This window comes from Homo sapiens, chromosome 6, assembly GCF_000001405.40.
Source record: "Homo sapiens chromosome 6, GRCh38.p14 Primary Assembly".
NCBI lineage: Eukaryota > Metazoa > Chordata > Mammalia > Primates > Hominidae > Homo > Homo sapiens.
The window spans coordinates 69,415,007-69,438,764 of NC_000006.12; the positions used below are offsets into that span (position 1 = coordinate 69,415,007).

Sequence of the window (23,758 nt, forward strand, 5' to 3'; positions counted from 1 at the left end):
AAATGCAATATAAAAGTTCAATGTAATTCCCATCAAAATACCACCATCATTCTTCACAGAACTAGAGAAAACAGTCCTAAAATTCATATGGAACCTAAAAAGAGCCCACATAGCCAAAGCAAGACTAAGCGAAAAAAACAAATCTAGAGGCATCATATTACCTGACTTCAAACTATACTACAAGGCCATAGTCACCAAAACATCATGGTACTGGTATAAAAATAAGCATATAGACCAATGGAACAAAATAGGGAACTCAGAGATAAAGCCAAATACTTACAGCCAACTGATCTTTGACAAAGCAAACAAAAGCATAAAGTGGGAAAGGACACGCTATTCAACAAATAGTGCTGGGATAATTGGCAAGTCACACGTAGAAGAATGAAACTGGATCCTCATCTCTCACCTTATACAAAAATCAACTCAAGATTAATCAAATGCTTAAATCTAAGACCTGAAACCATAAAAATTTTATAAGATAACATCAGAAAAACCCTTCTAGACTGTGGCTTAGGCAAAGACTTCATGACTGAGAGCCCAAAGCAAGTAGGAGAAAAACAAAGACACATAGATGGGACTTAATTAAACTTAAAAGCTTCTGCACAGCAAAAGAAATAATCAGCAGGGTTAACAGACAGCTCACAGAGTGGGAGAAAATCTTCACAATCTATACAGCAGACAAAGAACTAATATCCAGAATCTACAAATAACTCAATCAGATCACAAGAAAAAAACAAACAATCCCATAAAAAAGTGGGCTAAGGATATGAATAGTCAATTCTCAGAAGAAGATATGCAAATGGCCAATAAGCATATGGAAAATTGCTCAACATCACTAATATCAGGGAAATGCAAATCAAAACCACAATATGATACCAGCTTACTCCTGCAAGAATGGCCATAATCAAAAAAATTAAAAAAAAAGATGTTGTAAAAAGGGAACACATATACATTGTCAGTAGGAATGTAAACTAGTACAACCACTAAGGAAAACTGTGTGGAGATTCCTTAAAGAACTGAGAGTTATGTACCATTTGATCCACCAATCCCATTACTAGGTGTCTACCCAGAGGAAAAGAAGTCATTATAAGAAAAAGATACTTACACATGCATGTTTATAGCAGCACAATTGGCAATTGCAAAAATGTAGGATGAGCCCAAATGCCCATCAATCTATGAGTGAATAAAGAAAATGTGATATAGATATAGATATAGATATATATACACCATGAAATACTACTCAGCCATAAAATGGAACAAAATAGTGGCATTTGCAGCAAACTGGGTGGAATTTGAGGCTATTATTCTAAGTGAAGTGACCCAGGAATGGAAAACCAAACATCATATATTCTCACTCATAAGTGGGAGCTAAGCTATAAGGATGCAAAGGCATAAGAATGATATATCGCACTTTGGGGACTTAGGGGAAAGGGTGTGGGGGGGTGTGAGAGAAAAAAGACTACACAATGGGTACAGTGTATACTGCTTGGGTGATGGGGGCACCAAAATCTCAGAAATTAAAAAAAAAGTAAATAAATAACTAAAATAGATTCAAAGCATTACTCCATTTACTATAAAATTAATCAAATTTGGGGTGTTAAATTTAATATAGGTAGATGAAATAACTTTTGTGTTACATGTCCTTTTTTATTTGTTTTCCATAAAATTTAAGAACTTCTCATTTTCCCTAATATTTCCTGTTTCAAAGAACAGAGTTAAGATAGCTTCTGAGGTTAGTAAGAAAATTCAGAATTTAGATTTCAGAAGAAGTGAGGTGAGAAGATGGCGATAGACTACCCAGTCCTGTAGTTGGACAGAAGCCTCAAGGAACACATGAATGGTGCTTAGAAATATTGAGGAACACACAGAAGTGAACTCAGAGCCTTTCTGTGTAGTCACTGAGGAATAACAGAGTCTGGGAGATGTGCCAGGGGTGAAATGGGCAAATGTCCCAGAAATTCTAGAAACTATAGATCAGTGAGCTTAACCTCCATCTCCAGTAGAATTCTGGAATGTATTACTAAATAAATGGTTTTACGAGCATTTTAGAAAAAAAAAAGGTGGTGGGGAGAGAGAATGGAATTGATTCCCCTCAAGGACCAGAGTAGAATGCAGTAATTCCTTCTTACTCTCATCTGCCAGTTCTCTTCCATGTGTAGTTTTGTTTACCAGGATTCAATCATCAAGTCTCTCTCTACTGGTTGTACATGTCCTCATTAGGCTATCACATATACATTCATGGTTTTATCTACCACTATTCATGGGTAGCCAAAAAGACAAGTCAGTAAAATCCCAGAAGTACAAGAGATAATGAAATATTTTAATACAATCATGCAGGAAGCATTATAGTGTGCAAATATAAGACCAGTGGGGGTAATCATTTCTAATTTGGACACAAGTGGGAAGTTAATCTGCCCATGAAAAAGGGAGGGAATACTTTCTCAATTCTCTACTTAATATTCTTTAGCTCTTCTGTCTTTCCATCTCCCCTTGGGAGTGAATACAGAGCACACATTCAAGGGTAAAATGAAGAGAAAGTAGTAAGGTTGCAGGAGAAGGAAGACAGACCAGTCATATGGGAAAAGGAGCAATTCTAGGATTAAGTAATAACTGAGAGCACATGTTTAGTGCAAAGCTTTTGAAATAAAGAATCTGAATGCCACACTAATTCCCTGTTTTAAAATTGAAATTTGAGCAATTGCAGATGAATTTATGGACAGTACTTTCTGGCATAGGACAAAAACAGTATGGAATATAGAATACGACCAGTAGAAGCTGAGGAAAAGAAATAATTATCGTCACCACATCTGATTGAAGACTTTCACATTTCACAATAAAAAAAATCTGCATTTGTAAATGATTGCGCCCCACTGATTATTTTGCAGAAATGTTCCATGATTGGGTTGAACGAAATTGAATTTATTTCTTATTTCCTAGTGTAGGATCAGTTATCTTCAGGCATTCTTGTATTATCTTCCTAAAACCCCGAGGAAAGGTCCCTGTAGGTGTTGTTCTAAGTAGAGACATCTAGATAAGGTAGACCCCCCTCCTGATAACTGCAGTTAGGATCCTGCCACCAAGAGTGCATAAGCCAGGTTAACAGTACGATTTCCAGAATGCTACCTTCCAAAACTCATTCTGCTTCGCTTTGATAACTGTTATATCCATTCATAGATGTACCTCTTTCCCATCCTGAATTCCTGACTGCATTTATATCAGTCTACTACAAATTTCTCTCACAATGTCACAATGAACAGGATTGAAGGCCTTGTCTTCCCTAGCACCATTCTTTAACTTAGTCAGTGGTACCATCATCTCCACCCATCCCGTCTAATCAACCTGGATGCCTCAGTTGCCCAGCTTTCTTCTCTTATACCTCCTCCCTGCCATTTCCATCAGCCCCCAAGTCCTGTTAATACCACTTCCAAAATCCTCATGAATCAGTCAGTTCCATTATCTCCTTTCCCCCTGCCACTGTCCTAGTTCAGTCTCTTATCCATTCTTGTCTGCAGTTATCTTTTTTTTTTTTTTTTTGAGACAGAGTTTCGCTCTGTTGCCCAGCTGGAGTGCAGTGGTGCCATCTCGGCTCACTGCAAGCTCTGCCTCCCGGGTTCATGCCATTCTCCTGCCTCAGCCTCCCGAGTAGCTGGGACTACAGGCACCTGCCACCATGCCCAGCTAATTTTTTGTATTTTTAGTAGAGATGGGGTTTCACCGTGTTAGCCAGGATGGTCTCGATCTCCTGACCTTGTGATCCGCCCACCTCGGCCTCCCAAAGTTCTGGGATTACAGGCATGAGCCACCGCGCCCAGCCTGCAGTTATCTTTTTAAAACAAAAATCTAATTATTTCACAGCCATATTTTAGAAACCCCGTAGTTCTACTTTGCCTACTGGATGAAGCTCAGCTCTTATCCTGGAAGGAAAGTGAGATGAACAAAAGCAGTGACGAAGAGAAGGAAGTGGCATGGTTCAGAGGAGTGGTGGTCAGGAGGCTTGCCTGGACTGAAGAAGGCAGGAAATGCTCAGCCATGAGAGCCAAAATTGGCTACTCACAGAACTGATCTTCTTAGGGAGTCAACCTCACTGCTAGCTATAAACGTTGTAAAATCACCAACATCAATAATTCAAAAATAGTCAAGGCAATATAGAATGCCTTTGCTTAGCTTTCTTTGTTATCTCCTTCTGGTAATAATAATAATAATAATAATAATAATAATAATGTTTTTCTCAAGGGAAGAAGAGAATATACAGTTACCTAATGTCTACCAATCACTGTGCTGAGGCACATTAAAAAGAATTATCATAGTTAATTCCAAAGCAGTCCAACAATGCTGTTATTATTATCCCCAAGTTAATGATATGGAATCTAAGGTAACTCAGAGTTTAACCAATCAGTGACAAGGTCTTAGGCCAAATCTCTCTGTCTTCAAAACCTGTTTTCAGGAACATTGAAGTGAAGCCCAAGTACAGAGGAAACAGTAGAACCTCTGTGATTTAGTCAAGTCCTGGCCAAAGTGCCTTTCTCAATGCCTATTTTACAGTTTAACCTCTGAATATGAAATAAAGAAATGGAACAAATCATTGTCTTTGTTCATTCCTACTGCTATAACAAAATATCTTAGGCTGGGTAATTTATAAACATTAGAAATTTATTTCTCATAGATGTGGAAGCTGGAAAGTCCAGGATCATGGTGCCAGCAGATTCAGTGTCTGCTTCCAAGATGGCATCTTCTTGCTGTGTGCTCATATGGGGCAGAAAAGATGGAAGGACCAGGCAGTTCTCTGAAGTTTCTCTTATAAGGGCATGAATCTCATTCATGAAGGTGGAGCCCTCAGGACTTAATCACTTTCCAAAAGACTCCGTGTCTTAATATCATCACCGTGGGGTTTAAGTTCCAAAATAACTTTGAGAGGACCACATACACTCAAACCATAGCAACCATTTACAAACATTATCTCTTCTTCTATTTCCTAATGATGTTATTGAGGTAAGCTACATTGTTCAGTCATATGATGAGGGAAGAGAGGAAAGGATGGGGCTCAAGATGAGTAAGGATGGATATGAGTTAAACTCTGTGCTTTGTAAGCTTTCCTCCATGAGACATTTGATGTTACTTTATGTGGGAAATGTGGCAAGAGGGTTTGCCTTAGAGTGGGCATGTCTGAGGCAAAATATAAAACAAAACAAAATAAAACAGATCATTTGAATAGGAAACCAGAAAGCTGAATTGAGTCCATTTCTCAAAGACGACATTCCTGCCTATCACTGGTAATGTGCACGTTCTTAAGTAACTCACATGTTTCTCCCTCAGTCCTTCCGTATAATTTCTACCATATCTACTTCCAGAGCCTCTGTATTTTAACCTTCCTTTCAGAAAATCACTGGTAACCAGAAGCCAGCCACTCTGGCTATAATTAAATATCCAAACTGATTGTATTTGAACTGTCTCATTTGGGACCATGTTTAGGAAATTATCATAAAGTTGGTCTATTCTCTTAAACCATCAACTTCTCAGAAGCTAAGTCATCATTTTTCTCTAGTATATATGTAAGCTCTGTTTCCATGGTGGTGGGTGGGTTATATGGAAAACATCATCCAAAGCAGACATACAATTTCCCCCAAAGTAGAATATTTATTCTACAAATCTTGCAATCTGTTTTCATAAGAGATGATACAAGGACTAAAGTGCCACTTCATTGATACTTACTTCATTATTTTACCAGAGGATGAGATCAACTTAATAGAAGATAATTACATTATTGGCTTTGGGGCTTCAAAGAAAGAAAGAAATCAGTTTTACATTTGCTCCTTCTTAATTCCCTAACTCTTCTTGGGACTTTTGAAAAGATAATTGCCTGTAATTCAGAAAAGTTCATGAACTAATTTACTTAAGACCCTAGAAACACACATAAGATCCAAGGAAGAACTAAGAACACCATTTTTCATCTTTTCCCTAACAAGATTATGGAAGACAGGATGATTCTAAAGATGCTGTGCTAAAATAATATGACAAATTTTTTTCAGTTTGTGGATGTCTGTACAAAGCATAAATAAAGTAATATATTTCATAGTATTATTACTAGGCAACATGTGTTTTAGCATTTTTATTGTAAAAGTAATATATGTTCGTGATTTTTTAAAAGGCAAAAGTGTTTACGGTAAACAGCAAAATCCCCTTCCCTGACCCACCTCTGAATGTATACTAAAGTTTTTCTCTAAAACGAACTACTATAAAAGCATGTATCCACATATAAACACATATATATCCTGGATTTTGGTACACAAATAGGGTTTTATTTACATTCTCTTGTTTAAATGTTGTCTACTTCACATATCTCTTGGATATATTTCTTGCTAAAATATACATCCATAACATTATTCATAATGGATATAGGTATCATGGATATAAAGCATATGGCCCAGCTAATAAATCTTAAACATACATATTATACCTGACTCAGCAATTCTGCTAGTAGGGTTGCTATGCTCTTTTATGGCTATATAATAATTTATGTCACTAGTATCCTATTAATGGATATTTAGGTTAAAATGTTTTGCTCTTATGATCAATATTGCACTTAGTGTTGTTGAACCTGTATGTTTCCATATATCAGGAGCCTACTATAAAATAAATTCCTACTAGTAAAACTGCTGAACCAGAGGATATATGTATTTTTTAAATATGCTAGTTAGACCGTGTGCATTATGTCCATGAATATGAATGATTAATTTCTAGATGAAATTCATAGCAAAACATAAATTCAATTCTATTTGAAATGGGACAGATGTTATAATTAATGATTGGCTTCTAAAATCTGAGGGATCTCAAAATAAATTCTTTATTTTACTCTAAAACAAAAGAGTTTACAGTTCCTTGTTTGAACATTGCACAGAAAGATTGCCATGCACTGAATTTATTTAAGAGACATATTTTGAATGGTGCTCCATGTTTACATATTTCAAAAACTCCAGAAACTAAATCCTGTCTGTGAAACAGTGTAGAAAAGAAATACTTCACAAGAGTTAATTATTTGGGCCACAAAATATAAAATAAAATCTCTCATTTCCAGTGGATGAAAATTGGCGCTTCTAAATCAGAGTGCTAGTAATGTTCAACAATTTGAGCACAACACATGATTGGCTGTGAAACAGTGTACAGAAACATGTAGCTCCACCTGTTCAGATATTCAAAAGTCATTTCATGGTTATTATAAGATAAATTTATTTGGACATGCCTAGTCATGCATGCATTAGACATGTGTCTCAGCCAAAATAAATTGCATTTCATTATAAAATGGAAAACCAAAGCTCACAATAGGTCCATTTTTCTTATTTTGTTCTTTTTCAAATCAATTATTTTACTTCCTCCATTCTCTGTTTTATTTATTTGTCTTTGTCTTTCTCTATCTCTGTCTCTTTTAATGTAAGAATATCTTTAAGAAAAGTTTCTAACTATACGTTTCTAATTATACATTTAAAGACAGCATGTATGTGCATACATTCGCACACACATTTTATATATATACACACACACACACACACATGCTCTTTAAATGTTAATAATTAATCACATAACCCTCCTTTTGGTGGCTTTGGTCTCACTGTCAGAATTGCTAAGTAGGAAGGTACAGGCAGCCAGTGATGGCTCCCTTGTCAATCTCAGTGAGCCTGAGCAGTCGCTGGAGCTTGCAGTATCAGTTGCTAGGCAACCTGTTCATCTGCTGTGCCTGATATTTCAATTCGGCAGCAGTAAAGGTCTGTTATGTTATGGCCTTTCAGAACTACCTTCATTACATAATATCTACCATTATAATAAAGGAGCTTTAAATGTTTAGGGGTGTGAGAGTAGCAAGGAAAATCAGTGCAGCTGTGCCACTCAGATAATGTCAAGGTAGACTTTCTGCATATAAAAAAGTATAAAATTATGACATATTTAACACTCAGTCCTTCCTGGCAGAGAACTAAAAAAGCATCCTACCAGACTATTTACTTGATGATATCAAATCAGGTCTTGTTACCATTCTAGAAAAGTTTCTAACTGCTGCTATAATGAAGGTAAAACAGCAATGGCCTACAGAAATAAGAAGAATATTAATGTTCTGGATATAATAAATGAGGCTAGCGTGTCTAGCCAAGTATTTGTTTAAAGGGCACTTCTTGAGAACAGACTTTTTTTAAGTCTGAAAAGCAGCAGCTATGTAAGTATTCCAGGTTGCCAATCTTGCTAAATCATTTTCCTAAATAAATGTCTGGGATTCTATGACATTCATTGGAAATGATTTCAAATAGTCTACTCTTTACCCTTGAGTTTATTTTAGAAGAAGCAAATAATCGTTGTAACAAGATGGCTTGAATCACAGGTTTGCTAATTTATCCACTCTTGTCCAAGTTTTCTGTATTTATAAAAATAGAACTTGTCTTTGTATTCGGGCTACAATAACAAAAATATTATGAACTGAGTGGCTTATAAAGAACAGAAATTTATTCATTACAGTTCTAGAATCTGGAAAGTCCAAGATCAAGATACCAGCAGATTTGATGTCTGGGGAGGGCCAATCTGTTTCATACATGGTGCCTTCTATGCATCGTCATTTGGTGGAAGGGGTGAACCAACGACCTCAGGTCTCTTTTACAAGAACACTTATCCAATTCATGAGGGCTCTGCTCTCATGACTTAATCAACTCCCAAAGCCTCCACCTTCAAATACCACCACCTTTGAGATTAGGCTTCAACATATGCATGTAGGGTAGGGGGAACACAAACATTCAGACCATAGCGCAAGTGTACCAATTAGAATATAGTTTTAGATCAGTAACCAAAATAATCCTAAAGATACAGTGTCTTAAACAATATAGAATCTTATTTTTCTCCCACATAATAGTTTCAAAAGTTCAGGCTTAATATAGTCCCTTCTGTTTTTCACATTGCCATCTTCAACTTGCAGTTTCTATCTTGTGGTCTAAGATGACCATTGAACCTGGATTCTTGCCTAAGCAAAGTGCATCTACACTCCAAACCTTTGAGAGAACGGCTAGTAGTTGTACTTATTACTTCTACTCACATTCCATTGAACAGAACTTGGTCACGCTTAACTGCAAGGAGACTGGGGAATGACATTGTCTATTGGGGGGGCATTTTCTGTCTGGCTAAAACTCTGGGTAGCTATTACAAAAGGAAAAGTAGAAAAGTAGATTGGAGGACAACCAGCTGTCTGCAATGAGAGGAAGCAAGAGCAATGCTACTACATAATACTTAGTAGTGTTGTGTAGAAGAAGTAATACAATTGTCTTAAACTGTACAAATAAAATTCCTTTGAGAAATTATAACACCCCAAGAATAGAATGGGACACAGAGGATAACAAAAAGCATTGAGTTCAATCCTCTACGTCACTTCTTTCAGAAAGGGTCCAGGACCCTGAATGGGCTTGGAGACCAAAAACAATTTGTGAATAATAGATATGCTTATTCTCTTGATTATGGTGATGGTCTCACTTGTGTATGCATATGTCAAATTTTCACCAATTTTACATTTTTAAAGATGTGCAATTTATTGTATGCCACTGATACCACAATGAGCTTTTTTGTTTTTTAAGGAAAAAAGAGCATGGAATGTGACACCAGCATTTGAATAAATGCCATGTCTTTCCCTAGAGAAATAGCTGCCAAGAGGGTTAAAATCAAAGAATTCAAGGTGATGTTCTCATCAATACAGTTCTCTAGTGAAGCAGAAAAACAAAAAAAGTGACCTTTTCTAGGACAACAGTACAAAACATATGGGAGAAACCAGCAGGAGGATTTTAGCTGGAAATGGATTACTGGGAACACTAGATTTGTTTAATAATGTTTTGTTCATGATCTTTCCTGAGTATCAACATGAGAACCTGCCACATTCAGACCAGAGTCAAGGTAATTGTGATAAAGTATAGGAAGAGCAGTCCTTCCGGGGGCTGGGCGGGGGGCCGAGGGCAGGGGGAACATGAGAATATGCTTTCTTTTCAAACAGGAGCCAGAATCTCCAGGCAGCAGACAATTGGCAAACAGAAGAGGGAAGCAAATAGGCTTTATTTTCCTATGAAGATAAATATTGGAAGAAGGAAAAGCAGGGAGACGAAAACCTTCCTGTCTACAGTGACTCTCATTGAGAAGATCTGTTTGTAAAGGGTTGCAAACTTACTGACTCCTTTGCCTGTTGCCTACACTTTTGTTAATCCCAGTCATTCTTATAAATCCTCATCTTTACAGATTTTGTGTTTATTCATTCATTCGAACATTTTTTAAAGTACCTACTTTCTATGTGTCATAAACTTTCCTAAGTGGACAAAAAATAAATAAATTCAACTCCAAAGGAGCTCCTAGTATGGAAAAAAGAGACAGGTAGAAATCAAATCTCTCCAGTTCAGTTTACCCATTTATATCTGAATTTTTACTATGCCATTATACAGATATATGTGTTACATATTTTAAGCAAGCACAGAAAAGGCAAGTGGTAAAATAGTGGCCAAAGACTTCTTTCTGTCCTAGAACACAGGATTCCTTTCTTTTTCACATCATCTGGAGTTATTTTTCACCTGTATTTTGGAATACCAAATTGGGTGGGCTTGCCTCTACAGATCGTTGGCATTCCCTCTTTTCATGATATGGTAATATAAATAGAAGAAGACAGATTGAAGAGTAGTGAGGCATGCATACATTTCAAAAGTAAACTAAAATAAAAGCTAAAACCTTTCTCTTAGAGCCAGGGGCATAATGAGATTTTATGTTGTAGAATTGTCCATAAACTAAAAAGAAAAATAAAGATTTTAATCTTACACTTCACATCATTGTTTTCCATGTTGCTTTATCTTTCATCTTATATCAATAAACAGATCTGAAATGTAATTACTCTATTAGGAGGCTTGTCTTTAAGAGCACTGCATCTTTCCAAATATAAACCTATCTTTTTTTCAGAGGGGCTAACAAAGTTGTCCTCAGGGGAGGGGATGAGCTCAGCGTTGATATTCTTTGCTTCTTAGTCATGTGTCACATTTGGATCCATTACATTTGGATGAAAGATGAACGTGTGGGCTTGTGAAATGGAGTAGAGGCAAGCTGAATGCAAGGAGAGCATCTAAATGTCAACGGTGACAACTGTCTAGGTGAAAATAGTCTTATGTCATCCTAGTCAATCCATATTAAGCCCAAGATTTTACAATGTTAATTAGCTAAATTAATTTATGTAAAAAAGGTGATTCACGGTTTAATTTTGTATATCTTCTTACCCTTGGTACACTTTCTATGTTATCAAAAATTTTCTAAACTCTTTATAACCCATCATCTACTTGGTGCTTTGTAATGACCTTATCAGTTCTTGATTGGACATTTTATGTTCATTTTAATACTTCTATTGAACCAACAGTATGTATTAAAATAGTTTCGCTTAACACAGCACATTCATAGTAGGCTGGAAGACACTCTCACACCCCAAAAGCACTTTTCTAATGAAGTAAAGCAACTGAATTATAGATTAAAGTAGTCACTATGCCTCTGCAAACAGGAAAATCTGACGTTCATAGGTGCTACCTTCTGTCCATCACTCACATAACAGAAAACGCAACTGGAGTGCTCCCAATTTTCTCTAAACTATCAATGCTGCCATGAGAAATTCAAGCATCCAAGGAGCGAACACAGCTTTCAAAGGCAAAAACAACCCCTCGCACCATCTATCAAAACCTCACCTTCACTGCCTAAATAAAATTTTCAAGAAAATTAACTATAAAGGGAAACTAATAACACAAAACTCCAGTGCAGCATGGATACTGCGATTTATAATTTTTCTTAAAATGATAATGATTATCTTAATTTGTAATAAGAGCTAAATCCTCCCTCTCCCCTTGATCTGTGGTCGTTATCCCAAAACACAGCTGTGGATTTATAAAAGAAAAAATGATGCCTACGGTTACTATTTTGCAAGTTCTATATTCTTGAATGTGTGTAAAACACATGTGAAGTCTTTCTCCACAAAGCTGCAGGTTTTCAAGTGTTTTAGAACCTATATTAAAATGTTACTGTGGAACAGACCAGAGGCAAACATTGAGGGTGGATATCTTTGCATCTCAATCCAGGCTTTCTTGGGAACTAATTTCAGCTATGGTGATTATTAACAGTCAAAGTTTTATTTGCATTTTAATAGGAGATTCTTGAAGAAAATCCTTCGATTCAAAAGAATGAAACTAAAATGATAGATTAGGATTGATGTTTTAGGGACATTTACTAGATATACCTCAATTAAATCACAGAGATGCTTGTTTAATCTCTAACGCGTGGAAGAAAATGTGTTAACTGAAATTGTATATGCCTATAGGAAAATAGTTTGTCCAAATAATTCCCAAGATTATAGATTGTATTTTTTCAAGATCTGTGTTCAGTGTTGCTAGAATCCTGCATGTTATCAACCCACCTAAATTATTTTAAAGAGTGGCTTATTCAGAGATAACCATTGTGTCATGAGCTATGCAAGGTATTGGGACTTCCACAAGTCCCAGAAAAAGACAGATATGCTCTTTCAGGCCATTCTAGGAAATAGGCAAAGAGCACAGATTTCTTAGGGAAAAATGGCCAGGGGAAAAAGGCCAGAAGAAAAGCCTAATCAAGCAGGCCATAAGGAAATGTAGCTTGACTTATCAAATAGAATAAAGTTGGTAATTACTGAGTGGTTGCCCCAGCTAAGGCAAGTTTATTCCTAAATTTTTGTCAACCTATTCCTGTCGCCAAACTTTTACAAATATATGGATGAATTTTAAATCACATAACAGATGTTTCTTAAAATATACAGAATGTGTCTTATTCAATGGCAGTACTATTGGAGCTCAACCAAGGTTAAATAATAAACAACACATTCGGAGCCGTTAATCTACTGAACCAACACTTGTCAAGCAAAACGATTGTATTTTATTATCTGGGCTGCTAAAAGTGTCATTTGTGAAGATTATAAAATTATATGATGAAGTTTAGAAACTGAAAGTCCTTTATAAGTCCTATTACCTTGCCCCACGCATGCAGGCTGGAAGCCTAGGGAATTTTGCAGTGTTGCTCAATTATCCAGCAGGGGTGCTGTAGGGAGTTCTCACACAATTTGCTCTTAATTTACAGGCCTCCAAGGACAAGAAATTCAAATATGTCCTTTAACATTCTTTGAAGCTGATGAAGCAGGAAAGATTGGTCACTTTTTGGAGAGAATATCTCCTTCCTTATAAAACTGGGGACAACGAGGCTGTCAAAATATCAAGGTTCCCTGCTGAACAGTTTTTGTCTAGTCGTAGGAACTGGGGAAGTTAAAATCAGTCCCTAGTATCCCCAGAGACTACTAGCTTTTTCTGAAGCTCAAGAGTCTTGCTAGGTGGCACACAATGGTTGTTTAAAGGCAGCCTACCCAGCAAAGTGGCTGCAGGTCAACAGAGTGAGCAAACAGACATACAGGATCTAGAGACAGGGCTGCCTTTATGGTTGTTGTCCTAACATAATTACTGCTAGTGACTTCTTTGAATTTCTAAGGTTTTCTAGTTTGGAAAATAAGTCATACAGTATCCCTATAACTAGAAGGAAGAAGGCTATTGGCCTCACCCCATTCAAGGCCATTGGCCTCGAAACATCTGCAAAACAGGTATTTAGGAGCAAGAGCATACTCAACGGATCTTTCTTCCACTGCAAAAGGTTGCTGAGTGAAACTTGCTATTGCATGCCCATTGTGGGCAGTGGAACTTTTTCATGCATATAAGGAGTTGGTAGTCATTTTCATAAGTATCATTTGCGAGCATGAGGACAAGCCATATCTTCAATCCCCATATATTGCTGTTCCCTAGAGAAGGAAAGCTCCTTGAGGACAGGGAATTTTGGTGTTTATCACTGTGTCTCTACTGCCTAAAATGGCATTTGGCACAGGACAAATGTTTAATAAATATTTTTTGAATGAATAATTCCAGAAGTCAATGCTGTCCTTCATGACTCTTTAGAGAACATGTTATATATGAATGCATTATTAAGGGAAACTATATTTCATTTACGTGGTTGTTGCTCCCATTGTAACACCCAATTGACCCTGTTGCCATTCTTAACTTCAGGAAATCAAGAATCCTTTCCTCTGATCCTCTTCTCTTTCTCACTGGTAGGTCTTTGTCTAGAAACCATGAAACTTCCAAATAGCTAATTTACTGCAAGAATAACATCATTTTTCATCAGAAAAATAAATTACATATAATTAAATGTGAAGACCATGACGTGTCCCTTTCCTTTCGTTTAATCGTTTGTTTGAACTGACACTACGTCTCTTTTCCCAGATGGGAGAGAAATCTGGTAACAAAATAAAATGTGTTAGTGATGCTCATTCATTTTTATTTACTAAGACTCGGGCTTATTATCTCTGCAAATTGCAAAGCTGTGACCTTAAATACTCGATGTAAATGTGGTTCTTTAGAAAAAAGGGAAATTAAAATATGAACATAATTTATTTAGCTAGATTTTCCTTTTTCTCCAAAAGGAAAAAAAAATGTGTAGTCCAGTTTATATGCTCCTGGAGTGCAATGGCGCAATCTCGGCTCACCACAACCTCTGCCTCCCAGGTTCAAGTGATTCTCCTGCCTCAGCTTCCTGAGTAGCTCGGATTACAGGCATGCGCCACCATGCCTGGATAATTATTATTATTATTATTATTATTATCATTATTATTATTTTACTAGGGATGGGGTTTCTCCATGTTGGTCAGGTTGGCCTTGAACTCCCGACCTCAGGTGATCCACGTGCCTTGACCTCCCGAAGTACTGGGATTACAGGCGTGAGCCACTGCACCCAGCCACTCCTTACTTTTCATTGTGTTTATTCTATGCAATCCCTCTAAGGATGGCAATTCTCAACAAAAGGCATTTTTCATTTATAACATATTTCCAAAGTTAACACATAACTGGAAGATCACAGAAAGATCACGTACAGGTCTTAACTACATGAAAGAATGGAAATTTATCAAAACTACAGCTCATAGCCAGGCCAGAAGGGTCTATCTTTTCCCTTTCCTGTAATCCTACAACCAGAAACACCATGTACCTTCTTTTCTGTGGTCTGGCCCCCAAAGACTGGATGGAGACCAGCAGAAGAATGTGGATACATCTATCAGTTTGGAATATTTAGTTTGCATATGACTGAAACCCAGGTGGAACCAAGAAAATAAGATGAACTAATTAATTCTCATAATTTAAGGAACAATTGAACAGCCAAACTCTAGTCAGGACAGTAATGTGTGAAACCTCAGAAACACTTGAGACCAGGGAATCACAGTGGAGACTTCAGGGCACTGTCTCCATTTCTAACCTTGCTTTTCTACATATTGGCTTCATTCTTCTTTCTTACCAAGATGTTTTCTCTACACAGCAAAAAGCATGACTACTGGAAGCTCTAAGCTTAGGAACAAGAGCAGAGAGAGATGGTGTCTTTATCTTTGTCACCTAAATATGAATCCCAGGGAGTGATTTTGATATATCTGAGTCACATGTTCACCTTTTGAGTGAATCATTGTTGCCAGGGAAATGGGTTACTCTGGTCAGATCCAGGTCTCTTTTACATGTTAATCATACCTCAAGAAAATGTTTCATTTTGTTTTAATGAACTCATTTCTTATTATGGGGTTAGGTGAAGAACAGGCTTTATAAAAGCTGAAATTTCGGATGGAAAAGGGAAAACTTTAAAACAAATTATTTAGTAGATCCCAATCTCAATATGCAGTCAACTGTAAAGAATGAAGAGTATAAGAATGAGATTAAGATTGGAGAAGAATAGAAAGGTATGTGGACATCATCAACAATGTGTCCATGATCTTTTAACAATGTGCCCATGATGGTTGCATGAGGAAAGGATTGCTGAATGCATTATGATCCAGCTAAGATCAGGCCACGTGAATTGATGATGGAACTGGCTGCATCCTGACTCTGAGGGATGATGCTATTGACATTATTATGACACCATGCTGGATAACGGTAATTTATGCATAAGTTTAAGATTAAAAGATAATATTTATTTTCAAATTTGAATATTTGAAATGTTTGATAAGGTCAATTTCTATTACTGTTTCTTCTGAAACTGTGCCTCATGTATTACATTTTAGGAACAAATTCTGTTATACTTTTTTCAACCTAGTATATCACAAACCCTGCTATGCTACTATTTTCATTTTTTAATCTATAAGATTTTCATCTGATTTTGTAGATTTAATGAGATGCAGAGAGTTGTAGAAATGTGCAAATGTGTAAAGTATCCAAATTCCAAATATTATAATATGAATCTCATCCTATCAGCCTATATGATTGGGTCTTGTTTAATGTCTTCAAAAATGAGCTCTGAGTTAGAGAGAAGAAATAGATGAAGATTATGATAACATGATTTGACGTGGATTTATTTAATTGCCATTCAGTCAGACTTCCTATAAAATGCACTTTTATCAAATTGCCACTAAGCATATGTTAACATGCATTAGGCAACATATTAAATCAGGAAGATTTTCTGCTTTGCTAGTGGCTAGAGAAATATATCAGTTTCTTAAATCACATATATATTAAGTTGAGATTTTTTATTTTCCACCCATAAACCGGAATATAGATGTCATGTATTAATTGATACTATTCAAATCTAAAATCTAGTGTTTAATACTAAGAATTCAGCCCAATAAAGACTTTAAAACTTGCTTAAATCCATAAACTGTAAGTTCTTTTTTTTAATTTTCATATTTTTATTTTTTTATTTATTTTATTTATTTTATTTTTATTTTTATTTTAGTATTTATTGATCATTCTTGGGTGTTTCTCAGAGAGGGGGATGTGGCAGGGTCATAGGATAATAGTGGAGAGAAGGTCAGCAGATAAACACGAGAACAAAGGTCTCTGGTTTTCCTAGGCAGAGGTCCCTGCGGCCTTCGGCAGTGTTTGTGTCCCCGGGTACTTGAGATTAGGGAGTGGTGATGACTCTTAACGAGCATGCTGTCTTCAAGCATCTGTTTAACAAAGCACATCTTGCACCGCCCTTAATCCATTTAACCCTGAGTTGACACAGCACATGTTTCAGAGAACAGGGGGTTGGGGGTAAGGTTATAGATTAACAGCATCCCAAGGCAGAAGAATTTTTCTTAGTACAGAACAAAATGGAGTCTCCTATGTCTACTTCTTTCTACACAGACACAGTAACAATCTGATCTCTCTTTCTTTTCCCCACATTTCCCCCTTTTCTTTTCAACAAAACCGCGATCGTCATCATGGCCCGCTCTCGATGGCCGCTGTCTCTTCGGAGCTGTTGGGTACACTTCCCAGATGGGGCAGCCTGGCAGAGGTGCTCCTCACTTCCCAGACGGAGCAGCTGGGCAGAGGCGCTCCTCACTTCCCAGACGGGACGGCTGGGCAGAGGCGCTCCTCACTTCCCAGACGGGGCGGCCGGGCAGAGGCACACCTCACCTCCCAGATGGGGTGGCGGCCGGGCAGAGGCACTCCTCACCTCCCAGATGGGGTGGCGGCCGGGCAGAGGCACTCCCCACCTCCCAGATGGGGTGGCCGGGCAGAGGCGCTCCTCACCTCCCAGATGGGGCGGCCGGGCAGAGATGCCCCTCACCTCGCAGACGGGGTGGCCAGGCAGAGGCACCCACTTCCCAGACGGGGCAGCCGGGCAGAGGTGCTCCCCACCTCCCAGACAAAGGGTGGCCGGGCAGAGGTGCTCCTCACTTCCCAGACGAAGGGCGGCCAGGCAGAGGCGCTCCCCATCTCCCAGATGGGGCGGGCGGGCAGAGATGCCCCTCACCTTGCAGACGGGGTGGCCAGGCAGAGGTGCCCACTTCCCAGACGGGGCAGCTGGGCAGAGGTGCTCCCCACCTCCCAGACAAAGGGTGGCCGGGCAGAGGTGCTCCTCACTTCCCAGACGAAGGGCGGCCAGGCAGAGGCGCTCCCCACCTCCCAGATGGGGCAGGCGGGCAGAGGCGCTCCCCATCTCCCAGATGAAGGGTGGCCAGGCAGAGGCGCTCCTCACTTCCCAGACTAAGGGCAGCTGGGCAGAGATGCCCCTCACCTCCCAGACGGGGCAGCCGGGCAGAGGCGCCCACTTCCCAGATGGGGCGGCCGGGCAGAGGTGCTCCCCACCTCCCAGAGAGGGTGGCGGCTGGGCAGAGGTGCTCCTCACTTCCCAGACGGGGTGGCAGCCGGGCAGAGATGCCCCTCACCTCCCAGATGGGGCAGCCGAGCAGAAGCGCTCCTCACCTCCCAGACGGGGCATCCAGGCAGAGGCGCTCCTCACTTCCCAGACGGGGTGGCCAGGCAGAGGCACTCCTCGCTTCCCAGACGGGGCGGCCGGGCAGAAGTGCTCTTCACATCCCAGACGATGGGAGGTCAGGCAGAGACGCTCCTCACTTCCTAGACGGGGTGGCGGCCGGGCAGAGGTGCTCCTCACTTCCCAGACGGGGCAGCCGGGCAGAGGCGCTCCTCACTTCCCAGATGATGGGTGGCCAGGCAGAGACACTGATCACTTCCTAGACGGGGTGGTGGCTGGGCAGAGGTGCTCCTCACCTCCCAGATGAGGCAGCCGGACAGAGGGGCTCCTCACATCCCAGACGATGGGCGGCCAGGCAGAGATGCTGCTCACTTCCTAGACGGGGTGGCGGGCAGGCAGAGGCTGTAATCTTAGCACTTTGGGAGGCCAAGGCAGGCGGCTGGGAGGTGGAGGTTGAAGCAAGCTGAGATCACGCCACTGCACTCCAGCCTGGGCAACATTGAGCATTGAGTGAGTGAGACTCCGTCTGCAATCCCAGCACCTCGGGAGGCCGAGGCGGGCAGATCACCTGAGGCCAGGAGCTGGAGACCAGCCCAGTCAACACGGTGAAACCCCGTCTCCACCAAAAATACAAAAACCAGTCAAGAGTGGTGGCGCGTGTCTGGAATCCCAGGCACTCGGCAGGCCGAGGCAGGAAAACCACCGGAGCCCAAGGCAGGGAGGTTGCAGCGAGCCGAGGTCATGGCGGTACAGTCCAGGCTCCGCAAGAGAGGGAGACCATGGGAGAGGGAGAGGGAGAGGGAGAGGGAGGGGGAGGGGGAGGGGAAGAGGGGGTCATATTTTTAATAGAGATGGGTTTTCACCATGTTGGCCAGGCTGGTCTCCCATAAATTGTAAGTTCTGAGTCCTATTTTGCTTTTTATATCTCTAAATCTAGTGAGTTAACTTTCCTGGGTAAAAAATGAAGCTTTAAAATCTGAAGAGAATGTCTAGACTTTGAAAGGTAAGGTCTAAATTTCCTCAATAACCTAAAGAGCTTTATTAATTCAAGTTTTGAAAAGTTGAACCTAGCTAACATCAAAGAGTGTTATTTATTTTGTAATTTTCACTGTGACATTTTCTTTTTCTGTCTCATAGTAGAGTTGATCATTAAATAATGTAATAACAACCTAGTTGGTGACCACTACTATGGAGGAAAGAGAAAGTACTTTGGTTTATGAGAAATATATACATAAAACCACAGCTACAATTTAAAATCTGCCTTCATTGGAAATCAGAAAAATCCCAAATAATGATGCAGTGTGACTAATATTTTCTAGAGAAGCCTATAAGACGTCATTTAAACATCATGGATTTCATGAATTTTGCTTTATTTCATATGAATCCCAGGGCACAGCCAATGCAAGGGATAAAGATATCATTCATCATGATCTAGCATCTAAATAAAAATGGTTTTACCCCACTGCCAACACCTATGTTTATTTAAATTTAAAACTGTTGGCCAGGCGCGGTGGCTCACACCTGTAATCCCAGCACTTTGGGAGGCCTGAGGTCAGGAGTTCAAGACCTGCCTGGCCAACATGGCAAAACCCCGTCTCTACTAAGAATACAAAAATTAGCCAGGCATGGTAAAGAGCACCTGTAATCCCAGCTACTCAGTAGGCTGAGGCAGGAGAATCACTTAAACTCGGGAGGCGGAGGTTGCAGTGAGCTGAGATCGGCCACTGCACTCCAGCCTGGGTGACAGAGTGAGACTCTGTCAAATAAATAAATAAATAAATAAATAAAATAAAACTGTTATGACCTTTTCTTGCAGTTCTCTTCCTTTAAATTCTAACTTTTATTGCAGTTTGTTTTAATTTAAGCTAACCAGATTAAATTCACTGGAATCTGAGAGGGGCAATTTTAATTAACTGTTCCAAGGAAAAGAACTATTGCTGTGTGGAGATTTCTGCATGAGTCATTTGGGTCATTGTCTCAGTGCACAGCAGCCAGCGATGTAGGAATAATTGTCCTGCGTTTGGAGCAATGGTTTAAAAAATTACATCAATTGAATAGAATATGGCCTCAAAGGGCACAGATTTGCCAAATAAAAAACAAATCTGGACTTAGGTAAGGAGAGACTATTCGAATGGATTATTGCCAGGGGTAGAAATGAAGAGGCTATTGCAATAGAAAGGATGTTCTATCTGTGTTAGGCATCTCTAATTAGGCAGAAAAGGGCTTTTTTTTTTTTAATAGGAGGAGTAAGCAAGGTTAGAGAGAACCTGGTGTAGGAAGTGGGGTAAATTCAAAGAAGGGGCGGAAGTGGCAGTGACAGGACAGTAGATCAAAGAATGTTTTGCCCTGAACTCAGCCTGTTCTTCGGAAGGACTGTTAAAGAGTGGGTATATGCTGACTCAGACTAAGGGTGAATCAAAGTTCAGGGGTGTGGAGGAAGGAGAAAAGCTTAAGTAAAATTTGATCAAATCATATTAATAGGCGTTTTCCTCCATTTGGTTAGTGAGAAAGACACAGTTAATCTAATCATTTATGAGGCAAAGAACAGAAATTTTGGAGGGTCTTTGACTGGCCTTATAATAGGTAAATAAGAGAGGTGCCCCTTCATCTTATCTAAGTCATTAGATAAGACTGTCTTCATTGGAAATCTAAAAAAAGATCCCAAATAAAGATGTAGAGGAGAAGCATTTCTTTGCAGTGATCCACTTCCTGGAACACAAAGTGTGGAAGGATTTCTTAGCCATTGCTATTTCCAGGATCACAGGGCTTAGGTGAAGTTCACCATTGTCAGTGTGCACATGTCACAATAAGAGTTTTTCCCCCTCTATATTATGTGTAAGGCAACAAAAATTTTATAGAAACTTCTCCTACCACGCAGTAGGCAGAATTCTAAGATGGTCCACAAGATTCCCAGCCCTTGTTGTACACACTCAACATAAATGCCTCCCCCTGAGTGTTAACAGAATGGTGACTATGATGGAATATCATATTCACAACTATGGGCTAAAAGATTTTGCAGATGTATTAAGGTTCATAAGCAGTTGACTTCTCTCCAGCAAAAAGAATCCAGAGGTCTTTCCATCAATTATATTTAACATAAATCTGCATACTAAGCAGATCCCTCTCCATTTGTCTACTCTATGGAGCCCAGATAGCACAATAGAAATACTCATTCAGCATTGTAAGAAACTAAATTGCAAGCAGAGGTTGAAAACGAAATGAATTCCTTGTTTCACCCAGCAATGAAGAACCCTACTCTGAATTGGCACTGGCCCTTTTGTATCATTGAACTGCATTTCTTTTAATGCCAAATAAGATTACATTGTCTCGAGTTTTTTGTTTTTTGTTTTTTTGTTTTTTTTTTTAATGAATGAGATATGTTTTTAACGTTCTTGAGCATGGAATTACCAAACATAGGAAATAATGGGAATTGAGTGTGGCTGGTGGAGTGCAGGTTTTTCAAAACCTTCTTCTCAGGCTGTGCATCTCTGGGCAAATTCTGAACTTCTCAACTCCTCTCGTTTCTCATCTACAAACTAGGAATGACAGTACCGTCTTCCCATGAGATTATAAAGAATAAATGACATATTCTATTTCTATGCATATTTATAATGCTTAACTAGCATCCATAGCTGCCAGTTATTATTATACAAAGAAGTATTATAAAGAAGTGATAAAGAATATTAGTTTTATTTTTCTGATTTTAAATTTTCTCCCTTGATTTGAATGTTACCTTAGTTAAAATTCTTAATGTTTTGTTGTTGTTTTCACTGGTGGTGGTATTGGCTGTTTTAACTGGTTAGTTTTGGATTTTGTTTTGTTTTACTTTTTTGCTTTCATTATTGTTTTTTAATTCCAGTAGAGGCATAAAGAAACAGATTTTAGAGAGTTAAAGGTTAACTTTTAAAATCAATTTACTAATAAAATGCTGTTTTATTCAAGAAAAAAGAGGGCAGCCTTTGTTTAGAGGTAATAATGAAACAACAAATGAATTTGTCAAGTTGCTGAAGAGATGTATTCTGAGGTAAAAAAAATATAGAACAAATCATATATTAGAACAAAACATATTTGAAGGGATTTAAATGCCTTGTCTATTTTATTTTGCTAGGGCAAAATAGACATAATTGCTCTTATAACTGCAATTGGAATGACCTATGAGTACAAAAGTAAAATAATAAAATTAAGAAAAGTTTTTTCCATAAAGACCAAGTAAGAAAAAATTCACCTTTAATTTCTATTTCTTTAGCTAATAATGCTGCTTTTTTTCCTAGGAGTCAGTAGCCTAGAAAAGCCTTTTAAAGTGAATTTGCGGGCTCCAATTTATTTTCATTAGCTTTGATGTTCAATTAAAAATTATCTGTCCATTCAATTTTTCAAATGAACATAGGAGTAATTGTGTTAATGCTAAATTTTAGAAAATTTTTTGGATTCTTTATTTCAGTATTAAATAACAGCTACCACCAGCTGGTAGCTAAAGCTAAAGCCTAGGAAACCCCTCTAATTGAAAACCATCAATACTGACACTCCTTAAATTAATCAGAGAATTGAAAAAAATCCAAAAGAGAGTATTCAGATTAAAAGTGGTTAGCATAATAGAAGTAATTTGGATATCCAGATGTATGGGGGGAAAAACAACACAGGAGCAAAGAAGAAGGAAGGAAAGAAACAACGAACTAATCCTCAGGAATTTTCTTGTTTAAGCCATGCAACTTTTCACCCATCCTAATGGTAAAACCTCTTTCAGGCTATAACCTGGGAAAGTACCTATAACATCACATTCTTTATTTGTACCTAGGATCAACCTACAGTAATGTACATTTGTGATTAGAAAAAGGAAGTTCAAGGTTATTTCATAATTGATGGAATTTTTATTGCCTTTGTTGTCACATATTTTTATGCGCATATTACAATATGTGATATTCCAGCCACAGAAATCAAATCCAGGCAATCCATTCCAGTACTTTCTTCCTACAGATGGGATATGGGTGTAGACAGGCAGAATAATTTACTGGGGATGACAAAACCCTGATGACAACTTACAATGCCCAAGTTTATTGTCTATGCAGGCACCTTTAGTTATTATTATGCAATTTCAGAGTACTTTATAATTGAGTTTCTGATTAAAATTCATGCGGGAATGATTCATCATCCTACTGAACCAGATTTCTATTTTGCTTTTTTCTTTTATTTTTCTCACTATGGTTCTTCAGTTTCCATCTACTGATATTTTATTATATTCCCTATTGCTATAAACTAGTGCTCCTAGTTCATTTCTCAGCTGTTCCACTAATTTGATATTTACTCCTATTCAGATTCCCTAATAAAAATGCTAACTATGATCATATCTAAGAGTGACTGCTGTGGCACCCTACAAGATCCTTCCTACCTCCAACTGGACCTACTCACATTTATCATCAAGCTTTGATTCTTCAGTCAGATTGCAATATTCCCAACTACCCTTCTTTAAGCCTGCTAAACACAAATTGGCAAA

General features: G+C 38.7%; 1 annotated feature.

Moving 5' to 3' along the window:
* Nucleotides 16,730-17,239: an enhancer, noted in NCBI's record as "NANOG hESC enhancer chr6:70141628-70142137 (GRCh37/hg19 assembly coordinates)". NCBI's record gives its function as "activates a minimal SCP1, AML or CMV promoter by ChIP-STARR-seq in naive H9 embryonic stem cells {active_cell/tissue: H9 hESC(naive)}" and the evidence as "EXISTENCE:reporter gene assay evidence [ECO:0000049][PMID:30033119]".